Source organism: Homo sapiens, chromosome 9, assembly GCF_000001405.40.
Source record: "Homo sapiens chromosome 9, GRCh38.p14 Primary Assembly".
In the NCBI taxonomy this organism is placed as follows: domain Eukaryota; kingdom Metazoa; phylum Chordata; class Mammalia; order Primates; family Hominidae; genus Homo; species Homo sapiens.
The window spans coordinates 94,920,837-94,945,719 of NC_000009.12; the positions used below are offsets into that span (position 1 = coordinate 94,920,837).

Genomic DNA, 24,883 nt, shown 5'->3' on the forward strand with positions numbered 1-24,883 from the left:
CGCTTGGCCTCTGTGGAGGAGGCAGCCCCAGAGGTGGTCTGCTGGGGAAGAATGACAACACGGGAGTGTGGCTGCAAGCCACCCCTGCCTGCCACCTCCTTTTCCTCCACCACTTGGAGCCAAAAAGAATTTATGGTGGGGAATAGAAGCAAGAGGGCTTGTGTTTTTTGAGATTTGAAATATCACTTTCCTGCCCATCTCTTATTTGGGAAAAATAATCAACTCTGTGATTTAAAAAAAAAAAAAAAAGACAAGAAAGAAACGTTTTTAGGATGAAGATGTCATTGAAGTGATTATCTTCCATTCTCTGTAATGATGATGAATCGACAGTCTGGCATTTGTAGAGGCAGTTGACACAGACCCTTTCAAGGGGAAAAAAAGAAACAGTTTTCCAGTGAGGCTTGTCAGGGGGAAGACTGATCGCCGGCAGGCCGGCTCGGACCATGAGCACAGTTCCAAGAATGCAGGGATGAGGAGGAGCCGGGCTGGGCTGTTGAGTCCAGGCTGAGGTAGGAGTGCAGTGTTTTACAGGTCCGTTCTGTTTTGTGGGTGGACATGGGTAGATTACCTGTTGGGAAAGAAATACTTAATATTATTCCTTGAAGTGAGCTAAAGAGAATTACTTTTCTTCACTCACTGTTGAAGAAAAGCAATCTAAAAAAAGAGGTTAAATCTACTTAACATGAGACGTTCAGACATTTAGTGCCCAAGGGAGGGAAGGAAATTCTCCTTGAAAGAATATTCTGTTGGTCCTTTTATGTCAGGATTTTGTTAACAGCCTTTGAGAAAGGTTATCAAAACCTTACTCCATGTTTTTGGTTTAGTTTTTAAAAGAAGCCTTTTCCTTCATAGGGAAATAGCCCCAGAGTATCCAGTATGTCAAACCCAACCTTAGAGGGCCAAACGGGCCCCGGAGGCTTTCGATTCAGGTTCCCAGCCGGAAAATTGCTTTTCAGGGAGAAGGTCATGTTTTCCGCAGATAGTGGGGTCATTTGTATGGTTAAACGCCCTTCCTTCTGAGCCGGCAGGATGTTCAGACTTGGCCTCCCTCAGAGGACAGTAGGAAGTACATTTACCCCCGACTCAGAAGAAAGGATTGAAGATGGGAAGGGGAAATTTAGGTGGAATTCTGGCAACGCTGGGTCCTGTCCCAAGCCCAACAAGATGGACTGAGGCCGGGGTCGTGTCTCCAGAACATTGAAGGGTGGGGAGGGAAGTGTGGTGCAGACAACAAGGACTGCTCAAGGGGAAAAAATGAAAGGGTGGGAGAAAGAAGTGCCACCCACCCTCCCCACAGCTGCTTTTGTGCATTCCTTCAGGCCCTCGCAGACTTTTATATTTGCATAAATGGGCCCTGGTGAGGCTTCCACACTGGGACAGAAGAGCAGGCAGGTCCCCGGACAGTGGAGGCTTTTTCTTCATGAATAGTCTTAGAGCGATTTCGCAGTCATCCACTCGTGGAAGCTTCCTGGCTGGAGTCCGCCCTCCAGTCTCTGTAAGGACGTGCGTGTCTGTCTTTCTGGCTGCAGACCCTGCCCACGCAGGCTTGCCCTCCAGCCTGTTTATAAGGCCTGAAGTTACTTCTGTCTTGTTTTAGCCCAAAGGGTGAACTGCTGCCAGCAGTATGTCTGGAATGTTATTTACTTGGTACATTTCTGTGGCTTTTTGTAGCATTGCACATGCCAGAGCCATTTACTTGAAAATGCCAGGTTGCACAGTTTGTCTTCTCAACGGGGTGACTTTCTCAGTTAGGGGAGTTTAGTTCCTGTGTCTCTCAGTTTCTTCCTTCCTTCCTTGTTTTTTTTTTTCCCCTGAGTTAGTGCTCTGAACAATACTGTTGGTGCCTGTTGCATCGCACCCCTTTATCCTGAGTGCCCCAACTCCACTTGTAATTTCTGGGGTTTCTGGTGTCCTCTTCAGAGCACCTGGCAGATGCTTTTTCATTTGCATGCCTGCCCTGTTATTACTTCACATGAAAGCTGTCTGTTTTGGCAGACATGACTACCATGATTGCAGTTGAGCTCTCTGAGCTGAATGGGTGATGTTGTGTAAGGGAACTCGAGGTGGGGTTTTCTCTAATGGTGGCTGTGGGAGTGGAAGAAAAACCTGCGAGCAGTCTTGGCTTGTGCCGAGCCGACATGATAGCAAACAAATGACTTTTGAAGGGAGGAACCGGTGTGTACAGTTTCCTAATTTGGAAGGTTTCACAACTGTTTTTGTTCAACTGATGGAGGAGAGATTTTTTTAAGGGCAAATTCTTCATTAGGAAGACTGTAAACAAGTCCTGGAAAAAGGATAATTGCTGAAGGAGGAGGCATGGAAGATATTTGATGGGCCTCTTTCGTCAGCTCCCCTTCTTCCCATTCCACCTATGCAGTTTTAATGGTGATATTTTGGGTTTTAACACAAGGTATGGAAAATGAGATTAGATAAATCTCCCTGTCTGGTGCCAGTCCTGGGGCCATTTGCACACCTGGGTGGGATAACTCCCTGCCTTCTTTCTGTCAGCATAATTTTGTTCTGTCATGTGAGTCTATAAGCACTTGCAGATATGATGGAAAAGCTTGGCCTTACACGGTCTCGGCCTTTATTCGGGCCTCCTGGAAACCTCAGCCATCCCCGGCACCTGCTCGTTTGTTAACATCATAGCCAGCTCCCCGTGCAGAATGGAACATTTTCTGCTCCATTCTTCTTGGCTTTTTCTGTCCTTCTGCATGACTTCTCAATTTGTTTGTAAGCTGCTCAGATTTTTGGCTGAAGGGTCTTCTTTGATCACTCTCCTGACAGCTTAGGCTTCACACTGTCACACCTGCTCTTCTTTTACAGTCCAGATTTCAGAGTAAATGCTTCCATTGCCTTGTAATTTTTGTTTTGAGTGTAAAACTTTGGTGCAGGTTACTTATTACAGGTAATAGCCGTTTGATGATGGAGAAAACTGGTTGGCAGAAACGGCCACCTGAACTACAGCCAGAAACATAAACTGCCACTTTATTTATGTCTGAAAGCATCTAAGCCGCAAGCCTATCTGTCATGATCTAGCATGCACATGATAATAACAGGCTTGCCAGGCTAGGAAAGCTGCCCCATCGGATGGCCATGAGGACAGGCTCTAACAAGACTCTGTGCATTTTCTCCCCCATTATCCACAGCCCACACATCATGTTCCTCTCTCAGAGCATCTTGACAGGAGGGAACCATCTCTGTGGGACCCGCCTCTGCCATGAAATTGCCCATGCCTGGTTTGGCCTAGCCATCGGGGCCCGAGACTGGACGGAGGAGTGGCTGAGTGAAGGCTTCGCCACTCACTTGGAGGATGTGTTTTGGGCCACAGCACAGCAGGTGGGTTAAAGTGACCCTAAGTATTTCACTACCCAGAGTCAAATTCCATTTCTGGTCATTTGCTCACCCAACAGCTATGGACTGAGGGCCTACTATGCACTAGGCACAAATTTTGCTGGGGAGATGGCTGCATAAATAAGAGAGGGAAGCCCCTACTCCCCACAGGATTTACAATCTAGAGATGGGAGAGAGAGTAGACAAGTGAATCAGTAATGGGTCAAGTGTTGGAGTACTGTGAAGAGAAATGAGACCCATAGAGGGGCAGTGGGTCCTATTTTAGAAGGTAGTAAGAGAAGGCCTCTCTGATAAGGAGATATTTGAGCAGAGATGTGAAGAAAAGGTCATGCTATAGCATACTCAAGCACTTCTTTGTGGTTGTGATTGTGGTGACTTGTGTGTGTGCAGTGTATGTGTGTGTGTTTTAAATAAAGAGATTAAAACATAAATCCAGAGTCATCTCAGATGTCTGCTCACAAGTAGTGAATGAAGAATGAAGCAGGGGCGGTATAGATTAGGGAATGGTGAGAACTGTGGCAAACTGACAGCAGCTACTCAGCTCTAACCAATTGTCATGGTGAAGGAAGGAGGGCTCAATATAACCTACACTATTAGTTTTTTAAGGTAACTTATAATTCTGGACTTTTATGTGAAGTTTACTAATTTAAAAAATACCACGCAAGACAAACATACCCAGAAGCCAGACCTGGTGCACACGCTCCCAGTTTGCAACCTCTACCTTAAAGCATTGGCCACCAGTTCCAATGAGGATGATAAGCAACTAAGCTGCTTCGTGCTTACTTTCAAGTTCCTATTTTTGTTGTTGTTGTTGTTGTTGAGACGGAGTCTAGCTCTGTCGCCCAGGCTGGAGTGCAGTGGCACGATCTTGGCTCACTGCAACCTCCACCTCCTGGGTTCAAGCAATTCTTCTGCCTCAGCCTCCTGAGTAGCTAGGATGACAGGCACATGTCACCATGCCCAGCTAATTTTTGTATTTTTAGTAGACGGGGGTTTCGCCATATTGGCCAGTCTGGTCTCGAACTCCTGACCTCGTGATCCGCCCACCTTGGCCTCCCAAAGTGCTGGGATTACAGGCGTGAGCCACCGCGCCCAGCCTCAAGTTCCTAATGTTTAGGTCACTTTTTTCCCCCTGTCATCTCTGTCCCTTATACACTGGACTATTTGGCATTTTCCAAAATTCCCAAGTTTGTGCATACCTGCATGATATTGTTCAAGGTCCTTTGTCTGTTGAAATCTTATTTATTTTTCACTAACCAGCTGGAGGTCACCTTCTCTAGCTAGCCCAGGCTGATTACCCGGCTCACAATTCAACACTACCCTCCTACACACTGTGGGTTCCCACAATACTTGGTGCTTACCTTTTTAAACTTATTTTATTTTTTCTTTTCCTTCTACTGTGTCATTTCCTTATCCTCACACCTGGACTATACCTGCTTTAAATTGGAGCTGGGTCTTGCTTTTCATACCCTGGCCGTGGACCCAGCAGTGTGCACATCAGTGTCCCCTGCCACATGGAGTCCTGTGAGGAGAGGCCACATGATAGATACAGAAAAGGCTCTGGGGTCTGAGTCAGACAGACTTCCAGTCCTGGCTCTGCCATTCGTTGGCTCTGTGAGTATAGGTAGGTTAGGTAGCCTCCCCAAGCCTCCGTTTCCTCATTTGTAGAATGGATGTAAGAATGCCAAAGCTTGCAGGGTGAATGGGATCAGGTGTGAATGAGCTTAGCACAGTGCCTGACACGTGGAGAATGTACAAGAAATACCTGTTCCCTTCCTCTTTGTGTTTCCCTCCGTCTTACACACAGGCATTCAGCAGGGGTTTAATATGAACGTGCCTCTATCACCATCTCTTCCCTGGAGTGCCTCCCTTCTGAGACTCTCAGATTCGCGCTGGTCCTGGCAGTTGTGGTGCATTCCAGGCATCTGATCATGGAACCTCCAGTTTTTATCTCCTGCATCTCCAAAGAGTGCTCCTCCTTACCCTTCCCTTTGCCTAGACTTCTAGGAGGCCACTCCTTAGTCTGCTGGCTTGGTCCTGCCTCTTGACTGATAAGTTTACATAGAGAAGTAAACACTAAATATTGTCAGAATTCCGAGGTAGGAGAGGACAGGTCTGGGCGGGCCTGGAAAGCCTTTGTGGAGGCGGTGGCTTCTGTTGTGAGCCTAAAGGGACAGCAGGAGCTGAGCTTGCCCTGTTGCTCTTTTCCCTTAACATGATAGGAGTCAGCCCCCTCATCATCCTTGGAGGTACATGCAGTAACTCTTCGAGATGTGAAAACATGAATATCCCTGAGGCAAAATTGCCATTCTAGATTCCAGCACAAAGTTTGAAACATTTCCAGAGCAAGTCCGCCAGGCTGACCTCTCCCTTCAAGTGCGAGACTGGGCTGTTGCTGGCCCTGGCGAGTGCCTGCCTCAGACCGTCCAGGGAGTGGGGGAGTGCCCTGTGGGGCAGGGGTGGGTGTGCCACCTCCCAGGTGCTCCTGGCCAGCAGGCCCCACCCGGGAGCAGGGCATGAGGATACAGGGTGACAGGGGTCACCGGGGTCACTTTGCTGCCTGGGAGACTGTGCTCTGCAGCACTGAGCAGTAGAAAGCATGGTGGGGCCGGGGGTGGGTTGCGGGGGACATGTGAAATCTCAACAAGGTGATGGAGACCACCTTCCACTCAGAGAGGCATCCGCAGGGATTTGTGAATCAAGTCAGTCGCAAGGTTGGATGGTGTAACTTGTCATCAACCTGGAGAAAGTCTAAATGCCTTCACAGACATATTAGTCTGCTTGGACTGCCATAATAAATACCAGAGACTGGGTGAATTAAACAACAGACGTTTATTCCTCACAGTTCTGGAGGCTGGAAGTCCAAGACCAAGGTGCCAGCAGGGTTGGTTTCTGGTGAGGCCCCTCACTCTTCCTGGCTTGCAGGTGGCCACGAGCTGCTTTTTCTCTGCGTTCTCATATGGCCTTTCCTCTGTGCATGCAGAGAGAAAGTACGCTCTGTTGGCTCTTCCTCTTCTTATAAGAACACCAGCCCTGTAGGATTAGGGCCCCACTCATGACTTACTTAACCTTAATGACCTCCTTGAAAGCCTTATCTCCAAATACAGTCACACCGGGGTAAGGCCTTCAACACATATATTTTGTGGAGACACAGTTTAGTCCATAACAGCAGGCACATGGGGTCTGAGGATCGTCTGGCCTCTGCCAGCTTCCCTGCACCTTGCTCCCTCCCAGAATGGTAGTCTGCTCCAGGCCTGACCATATGCCTTGCCATTCTCTAAGCACATCACACACTTCCTGGCCCGACGTGCCTTGCAAGTGCTCTTCCCGAAATCCCTCCTCCCCGGCCGACTCCTCCTTCCCTGAGGATCAGTGCTGTCACCACCACCTCCTCAGGAAGCCCTGGTGGGCAAGGGGGCATCTGGGTTCTCCCTTCACCTCTCCCGTCACCTGCTCTCTGATGTTAGTGTTCCTGCCCATCTCTCCCTCCCCTGGCTGCTGCCCCAGGCCCTGTCTGTAATGTCCCCATGGCCTAGCAGAGACTCAGTAAATATCTGTTGAACGAATTATCAGGAAAGTTTGATTTCCAGAAACACCCGTGGATAGACGTCTTCCCTCCCCAGTGGGTGCTCTGCTGCCTTCCCTCACAGAGGTCGGGGCCGTGTGGCCCAGTGAGCACACCATGGGACGGCAGCTGGTTCTGACTCAGTAGGGCAGAGTGTGATGGCCTCCCCTCCCCCAGAGTGAGTCCAGGCAGCACTTCTAGTTATGTGCACACAGAATCATCTGGGTTGCATTAGCAGGCCCCGCTGGAAACAGTCCTTAACAAAATTGAGGGCTGGGGAAAATCGGAGGTGAACGGTGGGGCCTTCCCCATCCTGTGCAGAAAGACAAAGCAGGAAAAGAGGACAGATCAAAGTGGAAATGGTCCCAAGGGAAGCCCACTCTCTCCAGACCAGGTGTGTGTCGGTGGGATGGGTGGGTTCCAGAACAAGGCGACCTCCGCCAAACAGCAGGCCCAGCTCCACGGCCAGCAGCACAAGCGAGCGTGCACGGTTGGTTTTTTGTTTTAGGCACTAAGAGGCTCCAGTGGCCTTTAGGTTTCTGATGGAAGCAAGGTGAGAGCAGGGGCAGGCTATCTTGTCCCCCATTGAAACAAAGTGAGCCATTGCACCAGGACCACAACAGTGACTGTGTTTTGTGCATGTGTGTCTGTGTGTCTGTGGCTGAGCAGCTGGCCCCCTATGAGGCCCGGGAGCAGCAGGAGCTGAGGGCTTGTCTGCGCTGGCGTCGCCTCCAGGACGAGATGCAATGCTCCCCCGAGGAGATGCAGGTGTTAAGGTAAAGCTGCATGGTGATCCACAGCCCTCTCATTCCCCTCCTTCTTTCCTTCAAGACACCTCCCTGCCAACTGATGACATCTGCTGTGTTTCCTTTTTAAATTAAGTTGGGGTGGGCTTCTTGTCCCCCAGATGTGATGGTTATGTTCTAAGTCTTTCAGGGCATGCGTTTCGATTTGCCTTCCGTCATTTTCCTGGTGACTGTTTAGGAAAAAACTAGCATGAGGCCATTTCCGGGGGTCAGATCCTTCGTTTGAAGTTCTAACAGTCACTTTACGTGGTGGCTGCGGATGTGGCGAGGGTTGGGGTTTGGCAGCCTGGCAGACAGTAAACCTATAAAGCCAAAGGGGAAAAAAATCTTTAGGAAAATATTGATTCCTAAGTGTTTAGTGGTCACAGATGTATGTGTCAATGGGCCCTTTTGTTTCCATCGTAGCCCAGCAGGAAGCCTCTGCTGCTCCCCTGTGCAGCAGGATTCCATGGCCAGCTCCTGAGTTTTGTTTGTAGACTGTGGCTTGTGGCATGTGCAGGATTATTTCATGCCATTTTTCCACGTTTGTCCCTCTCTGCTTTGCTCCTTTTCTTTGTGAAATGTTTATCTGAAACCTGGTACCTAGGCTCCGGGAGCACTGTGGTTGCTATGGCAACAGGAGGTTCCATCACCTCCCCTCCTCTTCCACTAGAGTCAGATGTTGGTAATCTGCCATCAAACAGGTGGGGAGGGATGGCCATCCAGGAACTGCTCCTCTCCTCGCCTGTTCTTAGATGGCCGCCCTGAAGGCCCATCTACTTTCCCAGGCAGAGGCCTGCCTTGGATGGTTCTGCTGTTGTTGTTTGTTTTTAAATATACACCCCCACTTCGCCTGACTGTGACTGAAGCCTAACGCAAATGCACCCCAGGGAGGGAGCTGGCTGGGACTTTTGTGCAGCACTGCAGAATGTTGGGGTATGGCAAGCTGCACCCTTCCCACAGCAAAGTTCCCTGCGCTTGCACGCTAAGGCGGACTCCCAAGTTGACTCATCCATTGTTTCGGAAAGGAGATCTAGCGGAGGGAAGTGGAGCGGGCCAGGAGCCAGGAGACCTGTGTTCCCGCCCCAAAGCCATTGTTCCAGCATCTTTTCTCTTGGCCAATGCTGATTGATCCAGGCAGGACAGCTACTCCTATGGCCAAAGTGAACATGGCCCCTGCTCTCACAGAGCTTCCACTTAGCAGGGACATGGCTACAGGTACCGGCCGGTCACAGGTGGTGCGCAGCACTGTGAGCAGACTGCTCGGTGATGTCCATACTAACTGGAGGGCGGCGCATAAGGAGGTGGGGAATTTCTCTCTGAAAATGAGCTGCCTTGTGCATAGCCTGCCTGAGGTGGGAAAGGCCTTCATGTGCCTTAGGGACAGAAAGAAGGGCAGTGTGGCTGGAAAAGGGACTGAGGGCAGGGGCCAAGAGAGGCAGGCAGGAGCCAGGTCACACGAGTCTTTCCCCAAGTTCTTCAGAAGCTGCTCCAGGACCTTCAGCAGGAAGGTGGTATGATCTGCTCAGTATTTGGACGGTGCTGCTCTGCTGCTGTGTGGAGAGCACCACAGGCAGCCGACGGAAAGCCAGGAGAACGGTTGCAGCCTTGCAGTAGTCCATGCAAGAGGCCCTGGAGTGCCTGTGACAGATGCAAGACGCAGACCTATTTGAAATGTGTTTTGGCTGTGGAACGGGCAGGTCTTTGGTTGATTGAATGTGGAGAAGAGGAAAATGAGTGTATCCAGAATGACTTTGAGGTTTTTGAGTTGGACAGTTGGGTAGATGGTGATCCCATTTGTGTGATGGTAAAGACATGAGGAGGAGCTTGGAAGGAAAATGAAGTTTCCAGCTTTGCATGTGTTAAGTTTGTGATGACCAATAGATATTCAATATTATGAACTTTGGAGATTACAATTCAGGAGCTCACTGGAGAGACTGGAACATTCAGCCTATAAAACCCTTTAAATCTTGAACACAGTGAAATCCTCAGGGAGAGAGGAAAGTGAGAGAAGAGGTCAGGAGGAAGAGGGGGAGCCAACAGAGGACTCTGGGGAAACCATTATGTGTTTCCCCAGAGAAAACCAGGGCACTAGGGGCCATGGAAGCCAGAAAAGAAGCTGAGGCAAGCAGGTGGGAGTGGCTGATGTTGGAAGCTGCCTGGGGGATGAAGAGGGGCGAAAGAGAGAGAAGTGGGACTACATGGGTGATGGAGAAGGAAGTCAGGCTGAAGTGGACAGGAGCATGGATGGGAAGTCAGGAAGCGGGGCTGGTAACTGTAGGCTCTGTGAGAGGGGGTGTGTTGGCCCAGGAAGCGAGACTGGGAAGGTAGCAGAGGGACATGAGGGCCAGAGAGGTTTGCTTTCAGGTAGGGCGCCCAGGAGCATGCTTACCTGCGAGCTGCCTCACTGTGCAAATCCCTTCACCTCTTAAAGGCTCAGTCCCTCCACCTAAGAGGTCATTTCCATTACGTCTCTTAGTCCCTTTGATCCCTTTGGTTTTGCATAACCATAGTCCTTCAGTGGGGTAGGGGCATCTCAGTAAATGTGAGTTTTGGTGAACTGTGTTTCCAACTTGTAAGCAAGTTAGACTGCACCCTGGGAAGTCAGTTCACACATGAGGAGGGCCTCATCTCTGGCTTCCCTGGAGCCTGAGTCAACCAAGCTTCTGATGGCCAAGATCTTTTCCTTTGTGTGTGGAGTTGGGAGAACAATCTAGTATTTTTAGACCTTTGTACTAGACAGTTTTTTATGGCATTTGCTTTTCTTTGTCTTCGTATTCAGAAATTTTGTTTGCCTAAATTTAGGCTAACCATGAATTGACTGCATTTGAAAGGCTTATTGCACATCAATAAGGAAAATATTGTTATCAGATGTACTTACAATGAGGAGGAAATGTTTCCGAACCTGCCCTGAATTATATAGTCTAGGTTTCGTTTACTCCCATCCCCTAGAATTCTCCCTTAAATGGACACAGAGAACCTGGAAGTTATTGAAAGTAAAAGGAAGAACCAGACTTGTAAAAATTTGTTCTCAGATTTTGTTTTCAATGAGACCTTGGGAAAGAAGTCCCTTAAAAACAATCAGATGCTATCTTGTTCTTTCTTTCAAGATGCCCCATGGTCTTGAAATGATGGGCCATAACAACGTAAAAATCTCGCTTTATGTCTTGATAGGTTTCCACATGTTGGCGGATGCAGTGGAAGCTTCTCTTGAGATCTTTGCCACACTGTTCAACATGTTTGACCACTCTGTCCTAAAAACGCTTTCTTCTTAAAGCACTTTCTCCTCCTGGCTTCTGTGTGTCTTACTCTCCTTGAGTTCCCTCTGCCTCTGTGGCCAGTCCTTCCTCACCTCTCTTGCTGGCAGGTTAACAGTCTCCACTTCAATAGCCCAAGGCTCAGAAAGACTGAGTAATGCGTCTAACCTCCTCTAGCTGATAAAGAACCAAGGCTCAGAAAGACTGAATAACGTGTCTAACCTCCTCTAGCTGATAAAGAAGAGAACAGGGATTTAAACCCAGGGACGGAAACTCTTCTCGGTTCCCTATACCATATTCCTGTCTTCAGGGAACTGAGAGCATTTAGTTGCATTAAAACAAATAAAAAAACAAACAAACAAAAAACCTGCAGGTATCTTGGGCTCTGGAAGGACATACAGGTCAGGGTGAAAAGTATGCTTGGTCCAAGCATCTTTTTTCTTTTAACACATGAAGTATGTGTCTTATTATTTTAAAAGACATTGAGAAAAAGGAACATTCAACATTCTCTTGGTTATAGATACTGGAGTATTAACAAAGTGAAAAGAGAAAAACTAAAATTTTGTTTGGCTCTGACTTACTAGTTTTAGTAATTTATAAGAACAGCTTTCCATTTGTGCCTTTCATACATCCACTGAGTCATGAGGTTTCATCAAATGTTTCTTTTTTTCTTTTCTTTCTTTCTTTCTTTTTTTTTTTTTTTTAAGACAGAGTCTTGCTCTGTCGCCCAGGCTGGAGTGCAGTGGCATGATCTCTGCTCACTGCAACCTCTGCCTCCTGGATTCAAGTGATTCTCCCACCTCAGTCTCCCAAGTAGCTGGAACTGTAGGCATGTGCCACTATGCCCGGCTAATTTTTGTATTTTTAGTAGAGACAGGGTTTCACCATGTTGGCCAGGCTGGTCTCAAACTCCTAACCTCAAGTGATCTGCCTGCTTCGGCCTCCCAAAGTGCTGGGATTATAGGCGTGAACCACTGCGCCCAGCCCAGATGTTTCTTAGATTGACTTTGCTGTGTTTCCTTTGTATCCGATGTGTCTGAGATTGACTTCCTTGTAAGTCATTCGTTAACAGGTTTCTTGTATTTTCCTAGCCTTCTCAGCCTTCATTGGCTGGAGAGCCTGTAATGTGGCTACAGGCTTCTGAGGCAAGACGATTTGCTCAGTTTCAAAATGTTAGGGGTCACATGCCATTTTTCATTTGTTAATTATTGAAGATGTCTTTCCCACAGATAAGACCCCAAGGACTCTCCCAGACTCTTCATCTCCTCTCTGGCCCTGGGCAGAACTCTTCCCCAGGCAAAGTCTGATTTCAGTGTTCCTTTCTGTCCTGCCACTGTTCAGCTCTCTCCTGTCATCTATCCCCTGCCTACAAGGTCCCCTCCTGACTCGTGCAGCAGTGGTGGCTCTTGCCTGAGATGCATGGCAGCTTCCGAAAGGCTCGCCATGCCTCCTGTCTCCAGGGTGCAGCTGGATTCCGGCAGCTTCTGCCTAAGTGCTTTCAGTTAGCACACTCTGACAGGCCCCAGGGATGGAAGAGCTAAGGTGGCAGGGTCAGAAGAAATCTGTTGTTTTTTTATTGTTTGTGATTTATTATGACTTCTCTTTTTTTCTGGATTCATTGTTAAATTCAAGCTCCTGCTGAGGAAAACGTTAAAATGTATCGCTTTAAGGAGGTGCAACAGGCAGGAGTCTATGGAACTCTTAATCTTAGCTGCTGCCTCCACTTTGATACAATGCTAGATAAATGCGAGCATCTTTCCCTAACCTTCCTCCTGAATGCCTCATCCCTTGATCACAAAAACATCCCTTAATAATAGGGGGAAAACCCCAAGTATGTAACCCTATCCATAGCCAAAATAAAGTCTGCATGCCACAAGTGTTGTGAATTTGTATGATGCCTACTGTACATTCCACTTAAAATAGGAAGCCTTTTTTTATTTTTATTTATTTTTTTTAATTTTTTTTTTTGAGACAGAGTGTCGCTCTGTCTCCCAGGCTGGAGTGCAGTGGCGCAATCTCAGCTCACTGCAAGCTCCGCCTCCCATGTTCACGCCATTCTCCTGCCTCAGCCTCCCAAGTAGCTGGGACTACAGGTGCCCGCCACCACACCACGGCTAATTTTTTGTGTTTTTAGTAGAGACGGGGTTTCACTGTGTTAGCCAGGATGGTCTTGATCTCCTGACCTTGTGATCCGCCTGCCTCGGCCTCCCAAAGTGCTGGGATTACAGGCGTGAGCCACTGCGCCCAGCCATATACCATCTTATTTTTAAATTGAAAGCTTACAGGCTTCAAGGAAGAGTCTGATAAGGAGAGAGGAAAATCTCAGTTTCATCTGCTTTGGTGGCAGAAGCTCCAAAACGGAAATGTCCTGGGGCCCCTGCCCAGTGCACCAGCTACCTGAGGCCCTCCTCCACCAGGACCTGGCTCTGTCGTCACCCACGGTCCTCTGTCCTCCACCCTCCCTCCCTTCCCTCTCCCTCTCCCTCTAACTGCTGACTATGCTCACACTTCTCCCATCTTTTTTTTTTTTTTTTTTTGAGACAGAGTCTGGCTCTATTGCCCAGGCTGGAGTTCAGTGGCGCGATTTCGGCTCACTGCAACCTCTGACTCTGGAGCTCAGGTGATCCTGCCGCCTCAGCCTCCCAAGTAGCTGGGACCACAGGCACGAGCCACCACACCCAGCCTCTCCTATCCTTAATAATCTCTCCTTTAAACTGCTGCACCCTCATCTAATTATCAAAACACTTCTTGTCTCCATTCCCACAGCTCTTAAGAACTTCCAGTCCTCTGGAATCTGCTTTCTGCTCTCACCAGTACAGGAAAACTGTTTTTTCCTTGGCTCATTGTGCCCTGACAGTCACCAGATTATGGAAGCAAATTTTATTTTTAATCTTTTGAGACTCTTCTGCTTTGTTTGGTACTGTTGACAGCTCTTCTGGAAGTTTTTGTCACTGGCTTTTGTGGCAGTCCCTCACCTGATTCTTCTTGCCCTCTGTCATTCCTCCTCCATCTCCTTCGAGGTCTGCCCTTTGCCTGCCTGTGTCTTCAGAGCTGATCTTCCTCGGGGCCTCCACACTCGGCTGCGTGTCCTCCCAGAGTGGTCTCATCTAAACCCCCATCTTAGGTGGGAGTCTCCAGGTGCAGACCCTGATGCAAGGGGTATGGGAAAGAGATTTATTAGGAATTGTTCTGATACGGGTTGGCTGTGTGTCCCCGCCCAAATCTCATGTTGAATTGTAATCCCCAGTGTTGGAGGTGGGGCCTGGCGGGAGGTGACTGGATCACAGAGGTGGTTTGTCATGGTTTAACACCATCCCCCCTTGGTGCTGTGGTCACAATAGTGAGTGAGTTCTCATGAGCTCTGGTTATTTAAAAGTGTGTGGCACCTTCCTCCACCAACTGTCTCCCTCCCGCCCCAGCCATGTAAGATGTCCTGCTTCCCCTTTGCCTTCTGCCATAATTGTAAGTTTCCTGAGGCCTCCGAGCAGGTGACAGCATCATGCTTCCTGTACAACCTGCAGAACCGTGAGCCAATTAAACCTCTTTTATTTATAAATTACCCAGTCTTGTGTATTTCTTTATGGCAATTCAGGAACAGACTAATATATGTTCCCAGGAGGTGGAAAGGGAAGGGAAATGGAAGTGAGGAGGCCAAGCCAGGGTGCCGTGACATCAGGCCAGGTCATGCAGGGTTACTCTGGAAGAAGCATGGGTCACCCTCAGTTGTTCGCATCAGGCAGTGGACCCCCAGGGTGCATGTACCCCTGCACTTGTCTCATTGGTTGGAAAAATGTACAGTCCCAGGTGCTTCCAGCTCCATGTGTTCACAGGAAAGACAGGCTCAGGCAACCCCAGGGCCACCCTCTGACGAAGAGTCGCAGAGAGCATGCCAAGGGCTGGTGTGCACACGGGTGGGGTGTGGGCATGGCCGGCCATACCCCCTTTTAAGCCAAAGGCTCCCAAGTCTCCACCAGCAGCCCCACTCTCTCTAAAGATCAAGCGTGAATGCTTAACTCCCCGTTGACATCTCTCCTGGTTACCCCACAGTCATCTCTTACTGATCATCCCCTCTACCCTGCTTCATCTGCTCCCCTCCCATAGTGTTGTACTCATCGCTGGTGGCACAGGTCCACCCACAACAGGGTAGGAGACTGGGAGCTCCAGCTCCTGCCTCTCCTTCACTCCTTCCCTGGGAGCCATTGCTAACAACTGCCAATTTCATCTCCTAAGGATTTCCTCAATTCAACTCCTCTTCTCCACCCCTAATACCACTGTCTCTCTCTTCACCACTTGCTTGTAGCAGTCCAACAGCCCCAAAGTGTTTTCTATTTTCTACTTCTGGTCTTGCCCTTCCTTGCTGCCACCAGAGAGCTCTCCTTAAAACACCTCATGGTTCTGCCACCTCCTTGCTAAAACTCTCCAAAAGCTTCCCCTCACCTGCAGGAAAATCTTCAAGCCCCTTAGTGTGGCATGCAAGTCCCTGCACATCACCTCTGTCCCCCATCTCATCTCTTGTCGTTCTTTGCTTTACCCTCTCCCTCCAGGTAGCTCAGAGACCCCTCCTGTGGTAGTCAGCTCGGGCTGCCATAATAAGTTACTAAAGGCCAACATAAATTTATCTTCCCACAGTCTGGAGGCCAGGAGTCCCAGATCAAGATGTTGACAGATTTGGTTTCTTCTGAGCCCTCACTCCTTGGCTTGCAGTCACTGAGCAGAAAAAACAAACTGTTTTTCATCTGCTCTCACTCCACAACCATCAACACAGAAGACTTCTGTGGCCAAATGTGTAGGAGGTTTCCCCACACACCAAGCAAGCAATAACTTCTGTAGTGGACACCAGCTGGGTGTCCTCTAATTCAGTTTAATTCTGACACTGTCCAGAGCATCAGATCCCACAGGGTGAGGGCTCAGTCCCACAAGACTGCCTTCCACCTCCGACACCAGTCACACGCCCCAGGTTGTCTACCCTGTGTTTTTGACCAACCAACTATAAATTGGGGTTCCCATGGCTGGCACGTTGGGTTTATTAATTTGCTAGAGCAGCTGACAGAACTCAGGGAAACACTCACATTTACTCCTTTATTATAAAGATATTACAAGGGATACAGGTGAAGAGATGCATAGGGTGAGGTATGAGGGAAGGGGTGTGAGGCTTCCCTGCCCTCTCCAGATGTGCCCCTTTCCCTGCGTTCAGCTATCCAGAAGCTCTCCTAACTTTGGGGGGTTTATGGAGGCTTCGTTATACAGACATGATTCGTCAAACCATTGGCCTTTGGTGGTCAACTTGACCTTTACCCCCGTCCCCTCCCCGGAGATTGGGGGGCGGGGCTGAAAGTCCCAACCCTCTAATGCTGCCTTGGTCTTTCCAGTGACCAGCTCCTCCTGAAGCTACCTAGGGGCTGCTAGCCACCCATCAACTCATTAGCATACAAAGGCGTAATTGTGAAGATCCAGAGGATTTTAGAAATTATATGCCAGGAAACGAGGACAAAAACCAAATATACACTCCACAGTGTGACAGCCATCTTCTCGCTGTGTCCTCAAGCGGCCTTTTCTCTGCGTGTGCATGTCCCTCGTGTCCCTCTGTATGTCTTAATCTGCTCTTCCTAAAGGACACTAGTCACATTGGAATAGGCCCACCCTGACAGCCTCATTTTAATTTAACCACCCCTTGAAGCCCTCAACTGCCCTATCTCCAAAGACAGTCATATTCTGAGGTACAGGGGGATATGGTTCCAACATATACATTTGGGGGAACCCAGTTCAGTCATAGCTCCTACCATCTGCCTGCTCTTTCTTACCTCCATGCCTTTTAAAGATGTTGTCTCTATTTAGAATATCCTTGCCTTGCTGCATAATTCCATATCATTATGACTCATCATTATGACTCAGCACAGATTGCATTGCCTTCCCAGAAACTCTCAGACCCTATCCTAATGTAAGCTGCTGTCCCTCCTCTGTACTCCTAGGCTCTCTTCTCTGTCTCTCTCTGATCTTACTACATGATTTGGTCATTCTTTTTATGTTTACCACATTAAATTGCCAATATTTGACCATTTTTGCCCTACAAGAACAATTTCTTTTTTCTTTTTTGAGATGGAATCTCGCTCTGTCACCCAGGCTGGAGTGCAGTGGCGTGGTCTCGGCTCACTGCAACCTCCACCTCCCTGGGTTCAAGCGATTCTCCTGCCTCAGCCTCCCGAGTAGCTGGGACTACAGGCACATGCCACCACACCCAGATAATTTTTTGTATTTTTAGTGGAGACAGGATTTCACTGTGTTAGCCAGAATGGTCTCGATTTCCTGACCTTGTGATCCACCTGCCTTGGCCTCCCAAAGTGCTGGGATTACAGGCGTGAGCGACCGCGCCCGGCCAAAAACAATTTCATATGGTCCAACCAAATACATATCTCGCTTCTGACCCTCAGACTTTTGTCCCTAGGGATTACGTCTTGTTTCTCAGTGCACCACAGTGCTTGGCACTGAGAGGGTGCTCCGTGAGTGTTGAAAAAATGAATCTCATAGACATGATGTCTGTCCCTGAGGTTCTTTATATGTTATTTGGAGAGCTGAAATACTGGTCCCAAGATAGATAGGTAATCCTAGGCTACATCCTCAGAGTTCTAAGAACTGAGAGTTTACTGTTGACAGATTTAGTTAGAAAGGGCTACAGGGGGATGTGAGGCTTGAGCTGGGATAGTAAGAAAGGATACCACTGAGATGGGTGAAGAGGCAGAGGGAGAGGAATTCAAGGAGCAAAGCCTGGTAGGCATAAAAAGGAATGGATTGTGGATGTGGACATTAACATGAGAATGGACTTGCTGGAGAGGACAGCCACGAAAAGAACCAGTGAGACTGAAGGTGGGCCAGGCAAGGCTAGGCTAAGTCATGGAGCTCCTCGGATGCCAAATTGAAGAACTCGTATGTGATCCTCTGGGTAATGGTGAGGTATTTTATGTTCCAAGAATGACATAATGAAAGTAGAGTTCTAGGAAGATTACCCAGCGTTTGGGATAACATATGATCAAAGAGAAAGAGTCTAGAGAACAGATGGAATCAGGTGGCTGTGTGAGGAACAGAGGCATAAGTTCGGAAGACCTTGGTTGGCCTAAAGATCTGACTGAATTGTTCATTTGCAGCTATCAAAAATGGATTGAAAGAAGGCTTCTAGGCCGGGCGCGGTGGCTCACACCTGTAATCCCAGCACTTTGGGAGGCCGAGGCCGGCAGATCACAAGGTCAGGAGTTCAAGACCAGCCTGCCCAATATGGTGAAACCACATCTCTACTAAAAATACAAAAATTAGCTGAGCATGGTGGCAGGCGCCTGTAGTCCCACCTACTTGGGAGGCTGAGGCAGGAGAATCACTTGAACCTGGGAGGTGGAGGTTGCAGTGAGCCGAGATCATGCCACTGCACTCCAGCCTTGGTAACAGAGTGAGACTTCGTGTCAGAAAAAAAAAAAAAAAAGAAGGCTTCTAATAATACAATGTAAAGCCATCCCCATTGTATATAAGGATTGACCCATTAAAAGAAAGGTTAAATTCGGGGGTTCTGTGAAGTTTGTGAGTCTTTGAAAAGAGGGAAAGACAACAGCCCATGTTCCTCCTTGGCCAAGGTCTGGTTGATCCTGCCTCGTGTTAGGGAGGCATCATCTGAGGATATGGATTGAGCTTCACTCCAGAGCTCCTCCGCCCTTGGTCTTGACCCAGGATGGTAGGATGGGGTTTATGAGAATGGCTGCCTGGATGAGTTCTGACTCTACTACAGGTTCAGAATTTCTAATATGAAAATCTGAACAAAACTTCCTGGGCAACAACATGACCACTAATGGAAAATTTCATACCTGATCTCATGTGATGGTGGCTCCCAGTCAAAACTTTGTTTCATATACAAAATTATTTAAAATAATGTATAAAATTACCTTCAGGCTATGTGTATAAAAGGTACTCAGTATCCTCGGGGCATTGGTTCCAGGACTGCCCCCATACCAAAATCTCAGGATGCATAGTCAGCCTTGTGGAACTGAGGAAACAGAAAGCTGGTCCTTTGTATCTGGGGGTTCTACATCCCTGGAGTACTATATTTTCAGTCTGAGGTTGGTTGAATCTGCAGCTGATTGAATCCAAGCATGGAGAACCTGAGGATTGGGAGGACCAACTATATATGAAACATAAATAAATTTGTATTTTGACTTGGGTCCCATCCCCAAGATATTTCATTTGTATGTAGATATTCCAAAATCCAAAAATATCGGAAGTCTGAAACACTTCTGGTTCCAAATATTTTGGATAAAGGATACTCAAGCTTTACACACATTTGCTGTGTGGCCTTGAGAGAGTTACTCAACCACACTTAGCTTTAGTCCCCTTAGCTGTAAAACAGGGATGATTAACACAATAGTTTCTACCTTATAGGTGGATGTGAGGAATAAATACAATGAATACATGCAATCCATTTAGAACATGTATGTTAAGTTGAATCACAGGCAATTGCTGTTTTGGTGGATCTAAAATGAATATTGTCAGGGCCAGGTGCGGTGGCTCATGCCTGTAATCTCAGCACTTTGAGAGGCCGAGGCGGGCAGATCACTTGAGGTCAGGAGTTCGAGATCAGCCTGGCCAACATGGTGAAACCCCATCTCCACTAAATATAAAAATTAGCCTGGCATGGTGGCATGCCTATAATCCTAGCTACTCAGAAGGCTGAGGCACGAGAATTTCTTGAACCTGAGAGGCAGAGGCTGAAGTGAGCTCAGACTGCACTCCAGCCTGGACAGCAAAGTGAGACTCCATCTCAATAAATAAATAAATAAATAATAAAATAAAATAAAATAGAATGAATATTGGCAATTTCCTACAGTTCAGGTAAATACTTAACACGTTTGATGCTATCATCTATGTCCTCTGGCACTTGGAAAAGGTTTGTCCAACAAGTGGCAGAGGGCACAGGGACACAGCCCCCACTGCCCCTCCTGGCTTATTCTGATTTCCTCAGCCTGGCTCGTCCCCTCATGTCCGCATGGCTCTGGAGCTGGGCCCTTCCCTTTCCCTGCTGCCACCCTTCCCTGGGGACCACACAAGGCATCTGCTCCTGTCTCTTGACCAACCAGAACATGGAAACACCTCCCTCCCTTCCTGACAAGTATAATTGGCTGGAATGTTCAACAAGTTAATTTTACTAATTAAGAGAATGTTAAAAAAAAAAGTGCAAGAATGCCTGGTTACAAATGTAGAGCACAGGCATAAAAGGAAAGAGTCTGAAAGTTCAACAGAGATGCTCAAGCAAATCGCTAGAGGTAAGAATTGAATGAGCAGCACTTCTAAGACTACCCTTCTGGAACCTACATCTAGTCCAGCCCCTCTGAAGGGCAACCCTTGGGTCCCCTCTGGCTCTTCTCTGTAAAGCTCCTCTGGCCTCTGTTCAAAATCTCACCACTGTCCAGAGTGGAAAAAAGTTCTTGCCTTTATGGCTTCCGAGAGTTCCTACCTGATCATTGGCCTGTGCCTCTCCTAAGGTCTCAACTGTATGTCTTAGAATTCCTGCCCTACACCCCTCTATCCCTCAGGCACGTGGGATTCCCCTACCCACTCCTGTCTGTCTAGTGTTTTTATTTGAACCACATACACTAACAAGCGACCTGTGAAGAGTGTTTCTACCTGTTCTTGATGGGAGGATGCTATACCTATGCCAGCATTTTCTGAAAAACTTTAGAGCTCTCAGCTAGCCAGAAATGGACTCTGCCCTTTCCTGTTTCAAAGGTCAGCTCCACCAGCCTGAGCTGCCCACTCAGTTTGTTTCCTGTTAGAGGGACACCCTCAGCTCTCAGCTCTTTTAAACAGCAAAGATGACAGACATGTCCTGAATAATTGAACTCAAATAACCTTCCCTCTTTATTTTTCCAGACCATTTCCTGGTTAGTCAGCACTCAGGTCTTTCTAAGGGGGAGAGAATTCTCCATAGACCCCTAATTACATATTTACAGTACTTGGTGTTTCATTTTTGCAATAACATCTAGTAGGGTCCTTTTTCTTTATATAGAAAAACATGAAAAAGCAAGACATTTCATAATCACTGGTTAGTTAACTTTGGTTAATTTTTTTCAAAGCACATAGTAAGAAAATTCAAGCAGTTTAGAAAAGTATAAAATTCCATTTACTACCACTGTAGTCCCTTACCCAAAGATAATTACTGCTACTGTTTTCTTGTGAATCTTGGGAAAGTAAATTTTGTAAGTATACATGCATACTTCCATATTGCTGCTCCGTGTAGCACTGATTCATTATAATGCTATTTGACTATAAAATATTTCGTACAAAATTATTCATGTACATATGCCAGTCCATAATAATTCACTCTTATTTTGCCCATCCTAAGGATATCTTATGCACTCAGCCAGTAGGAAGAATCACTATGTACATTACATGTTCAGCTAATGAGCGTTAGTTTCCCATTCAGAAAAACTCTCATCCAGTGAGTGCTTTCTCATGTAACGCCAAATTCACTTTGTTCCACAGAGTATTTGCTTACTTCCTGTGCCCCTTTTTCCTACCATTTAGTTTGTGTTTTGGCCAACAGTTTTGATCTAGAATGGATGACAAAAACTATATGGGTATTCTGCTGGACCTGCCACAAAGACACGAAAGAAGAACATCCTGCTAGATGTTACAAATCTGCTTTACAGGAGTTCTTGCCCCTTTCAAGTCAATGGTTGAGGACAGAAGGAATAAGAAACAGGGACTGTACTATTCAACATTGTACTGGAGGTTATAGCCAGGGCAGTTAGGCAAAAAAGTGAACTACAAGGCATCCAGATTGGAAAGGAAGAAGTAAAACTGTCTCCATTTGTAGACATAATCTTATGTGGAGTAAATCCTAAGTAATCCTCCAAAAAAATAATTAGAGCTAATAAACAAGTTCAGTAAAGTTTCGAGATATAGGATCAACATACAAAAGTTAGCTGTATTTCCATACACTAGCTAAGAATAATCTGAAAGTTAAATTAGGAAAAATTCATTTACATCGCTTGAACCCGGGAGGCAGAGGTTGCAGTGAGTTGAGGTTGTGCCATTGCACTCCAGCCTAGGGGACACAGTGAGAGTCTGTCTCAAAAAAAAAAAAAAAAAAAAAAATCATTTACAGTAGCATCAAAGATAATAAGGTACTGATTCAAAACGGATCAAAAACCCAAATATAAAAGCTAAAATTATACAACAAACAGAAAAAATGTAGATGTAAATCTTCATGATCTTGCATTAGGCAATAGTTTCTTACATACTAGACACTGAAAGCATAAGCAACTGAAGGGAAAAAGAATCAGTAAATTGGACTGCATCAAAATTAAAAACTTTTGTGCGACAGAGGACTCCATCAAGAAAATAAAAAGACAACCTACAGAATGGGAGGTAATATTTGCAAATCATATATCTGTTAAGGGACTTGTATTCAGAATATATAAAGAACACTTACAACTCAACAATAAAGACAAATGACCCAATTAAAAAATGGTCAGTCTGGACCGGGCATGGTGGCTCACGCCTGTAATCCCAGCACTTTGGGAGGCTGAGGTGGGCAGATCACTTAAGGTCAGGAGTTCAAGACCAGCCTGGCCAACATGGTGAAACCCCGTCTCTACTGAAAACACAAAAATTATCCAGGTGTGGTGACATGCACCTGTAATCCCAGCTACTCAGGAGGCTGAGGCAGGAGAATTGCTTGAATCTGGGAGATGGAGGTTGCAGTGAGCTGAGATCGTGCCCCTGCACTCCAGCCTAGGCGACAGAGTGGGACTCCATCTCAAATAAAAAAAAAAAAGAAAAAAGAAAAAAAAAGGATCAATCTGGCTGGGCACAGTGGCTCATGCCTGTAATCCCAGCACTTTGGGACGCTGAGGCGGGCAGATCACTTGAGGTCAGCAATTCAAGACCAGCCTGGCCAACATGGTGAAACCCCATCTCTGCTAAACATACAAACAATTAGCAGGGTGTGGTGGCACGCACCTGTAATCCCAGCTACTCGGGAGGCTGAGGCAGGAGAATCACTTGAACCCGAGGGGCAGAGGTTGCAGTGAGCTGAGATTGTACCACTGCACTCCAGCCTGGGCAACAGAGTGAGACTCCATCTCAAAAAAAAAAAAAAAAAAAAAAAAAAAACAGGTCAATCTAAGTTGACATTTCTCCAAAGAAAATATGCAGATGGCCAATGAGCACATAAGATACTCAACATTATTGGCTATCAGGAAATACAAATCAAAACCACAGTGAGATACCACTTCATACCTACTAGGATGGCTACAATGAAAAAGACAGATAATAAAAATCAGTGAGGACTTGGAAAAATTGGAACCCTTGTTCACTGTTGGTAAAATGGTGCAGCTGCTGTGGAAAACAGCCTGGTGGTTCCTCAAAAGCTTAAGCATAGAGTGACCATATAACCCTGCAATTCCATTCCTAGCTAAATAACCAAAAGAAATGAAGAAATCATATGCAAATGTTCATAACAGTATTATTCATCATAGCCCAAAATGGAAACAACCCAAATGTCCATCAACAGATGAATGGATAATCAAAATGTGTTATATCCATACAGTGGAATATTAATCAGCCATAAAAAGGAACGGAGTACTGATACTTGCTGCAGCAAGGGTGAACCTTGAAAACATTATGCTCAGCGGAAAAAGCTGGACACAAAAGGCCACATACTGTATCATGTGATTTATGTGAACTGTCCACAATAGGCAAATCCATAGAGACAAAAAGTAGATTTTTTATTTTTATTTTTTTATTTTGAGACAGGGTCTTACTCTGTCCCCGAGGCTGGAGTGCCATGGCACGATCATGGCTCACTGCAGCCTTAACCTACCAGGCTCAAACAATCCTCCCACCTTGATCTCCCAAAGTAAGAAGTAGATTAATGGTCAGGGCCTGGGTGGAGGTGGGAAGGAGATTGGGGAGTGACTGCCAGTGTGTATTTGGTTTCTTTTTAGGGTGATTAACATGTTCTAAAGTTGATTACATTCTAAAGTTTATTGCACATCATCAACTTATGTGCAACTCATAAGGTTGCACAACCTTATGAGTACACTAAAAACCACTATATGTGAATTACATCTCAATTTTTTAAAAAAGAGAGAGATTGATGGAAATCATTTAATGTTCTCTACTGTCTCATAATACCCCTGTAGCCTGGTGGGGTTGATCAACAATCATCTGGAGGAGACATGGAAAAAGAAATTAGGGCAGGAGGCGACTGGTGACCTCCGAGGTTTGGATGAGACCCACGGGGCCATTTCCAGCGTTGGATGGATGGAAGACATCTCCATAGGGTCTGTGATATAACAACCCCGTGGAATGATAATTCACTCCCAAGAAAGCATCCCTCAAGCACAAGTGTATACACACAAGATTGTGTGTTTTATCCATGCCATGCTATACCTCCCATTGTCCTCTTAATAATAGAATCCTGGCTAGTGTTCTGTCATCAACACAGTGAATTATTTGTTTTTTTTTAACTGCTGTGAGTATTCCCAGATATGAATGTTCCGTTACTAACCATCAAACATTTGTTAACCATTGGGCGTCATCATGGTCATTTCTAGTTTTTTGCTTTCATAAACAATGCTATGGTGAATGGTCTCACACTTACTGTTAGATGCACTGCATGTGAAATAGAAGACCCAAAGAGCACACTGTTGCTGGCAAGGCTGAGAAGAGAGCTCCTCTGCTGAGGACTCGTCCTCTTGTGCATCCTGGTATGTACTGGGCTGAAAACCAGGCAAGCCCTCCACCCCTGCCGCTGCCGCCCCCATGCCTAGGGCCGTGCTGTCCTCCACTGAGGAGGGAAAAGTCCTTCTCCAGCTCCCACGGGCCATCTGCTCCTCGTTGAGTCATCAGATGAGGCGATCCTTCCCATTACCTCAGCACAC

At 46.9% G+C, this 24,883-nt stretch overlaps 1 protein-coding gene and 1 long non-coding RNA gene across 53 annotated transcripts in view, besides 3 other annotated features; one reads left to right on the forward strand and one right to left on the reverse strand.

The window, feature by feature from the left end:
- Positions 1 to 24,883, forward strand: part of AOPEP (aminopeptidase O (putative)) — a 423,526-nt gene that overhangs the window by 194,138 nt on the left and 204,505 nt on the right. For 31 of the 51 annotated variants that reach the window (NR_169865.1, XR_929854.3, XR_929853.3 and 28 more), the window contains 2 exons: positions 3,150 to 3,339; positions 7,589 to 7,695. The exons of 13 other annotated variants lie outside the window; for them this stretch is intronic. Coding sequence is in view for 28 of the 38 variants with exons in the window: in XM_011519121.4 (XP_011517423.1) it covers positions 3,150 to 3,339; positions 7,589 to 7,695 (297 nt within the window). In the remaining 10 variants the exon portion in view is untranslated. Of the gene's footprint in view, positions 1 to 381; positions 510 to 3,149; positions 3,340 to 7,588; positions 8,868 to 9,138; positions 12,838 to 13,727; positions 14,521 to 24,883 lie in introns of those variants that run through there. 7 more of the 51 variants (NM_001386072.1, NM_001386073.1, NM_001386071.1 and 4 more) reach the window with 5 other exon arrangements.
- On the reverse strand, positions 6,184 to 24,718 carry AOPEP-AS1 (AOPEP antisense RNA 1). 2 transcript variants are annotated; one of them, NR_147613.1, is made up of 3 exons: positions 24,604 to 24,718; positions 13,937 to 14,108; positions 6,184 to 8,027 (listed from the first exon to the last, which is right to left on the reverse strand). It is a non-coding gene; the product is annotated as an AOPEP antisense RNA 1 (long non-coding RNA). The 2 variants fall into 2 exon arrangements; NR_147614.1 differs by lacking the exon at positions 13,937 to 14,108.
- Positions 6,470 to 7,259: an enhancer, noted in NCBI's record as "H3K27ac-H3K4me1 hESC enhancer chr9:97689588-97690377 (GRCh37/hg19 assembly coordinates)". NCBI's record gives its function as "activates a minimal SCP1, AML or CMV promoter by ChIP-STARR-seq in primed H9 embryonic stem cells {active_cell/tissue: H9 hESC(primed)}" and the evidence as "EXISTENCE:reporter gene assay evidence [ECO:0000049][PMID:30033119]".
- Positions 7,260 to 8,048: an enhancer, noted in NCBI's record as "H3K27ac-H3K4me1 hESC enhancer chr9:97690378-97691166 (GRCh37/hg19 assembly coordinates)". NCBI's record gives its function as "activates a minimal SCP1, AML or CMV promoter by ChIP-STARR-seq in naive and primed H9 embryonic stem cells {active_cell/tissue: H9 hESC(naive and primed)}" and the evidence as "EXISTENCE:reporter gene assay evidence [ECO:0000049][PMID:30033119]".
- Positions 8,765 to 9,265: an enhancer, noted in NCBI's record as "H3K4me1 hESC enhancer chr9:97691883-97692383 (GRCh37/hg19 assembly coordinates)". NCBI's record gives its function as "activates a minimal SCP1, AML or CMV promoter by ChIP-STARR-seq in naive H9 embryonic stem cells {active_cell/tissue: H9 hESC(naive)}" and the evidence as "EXISTENCE:reporter gene assay evidence [ECO:0000049][PMID:30033119]".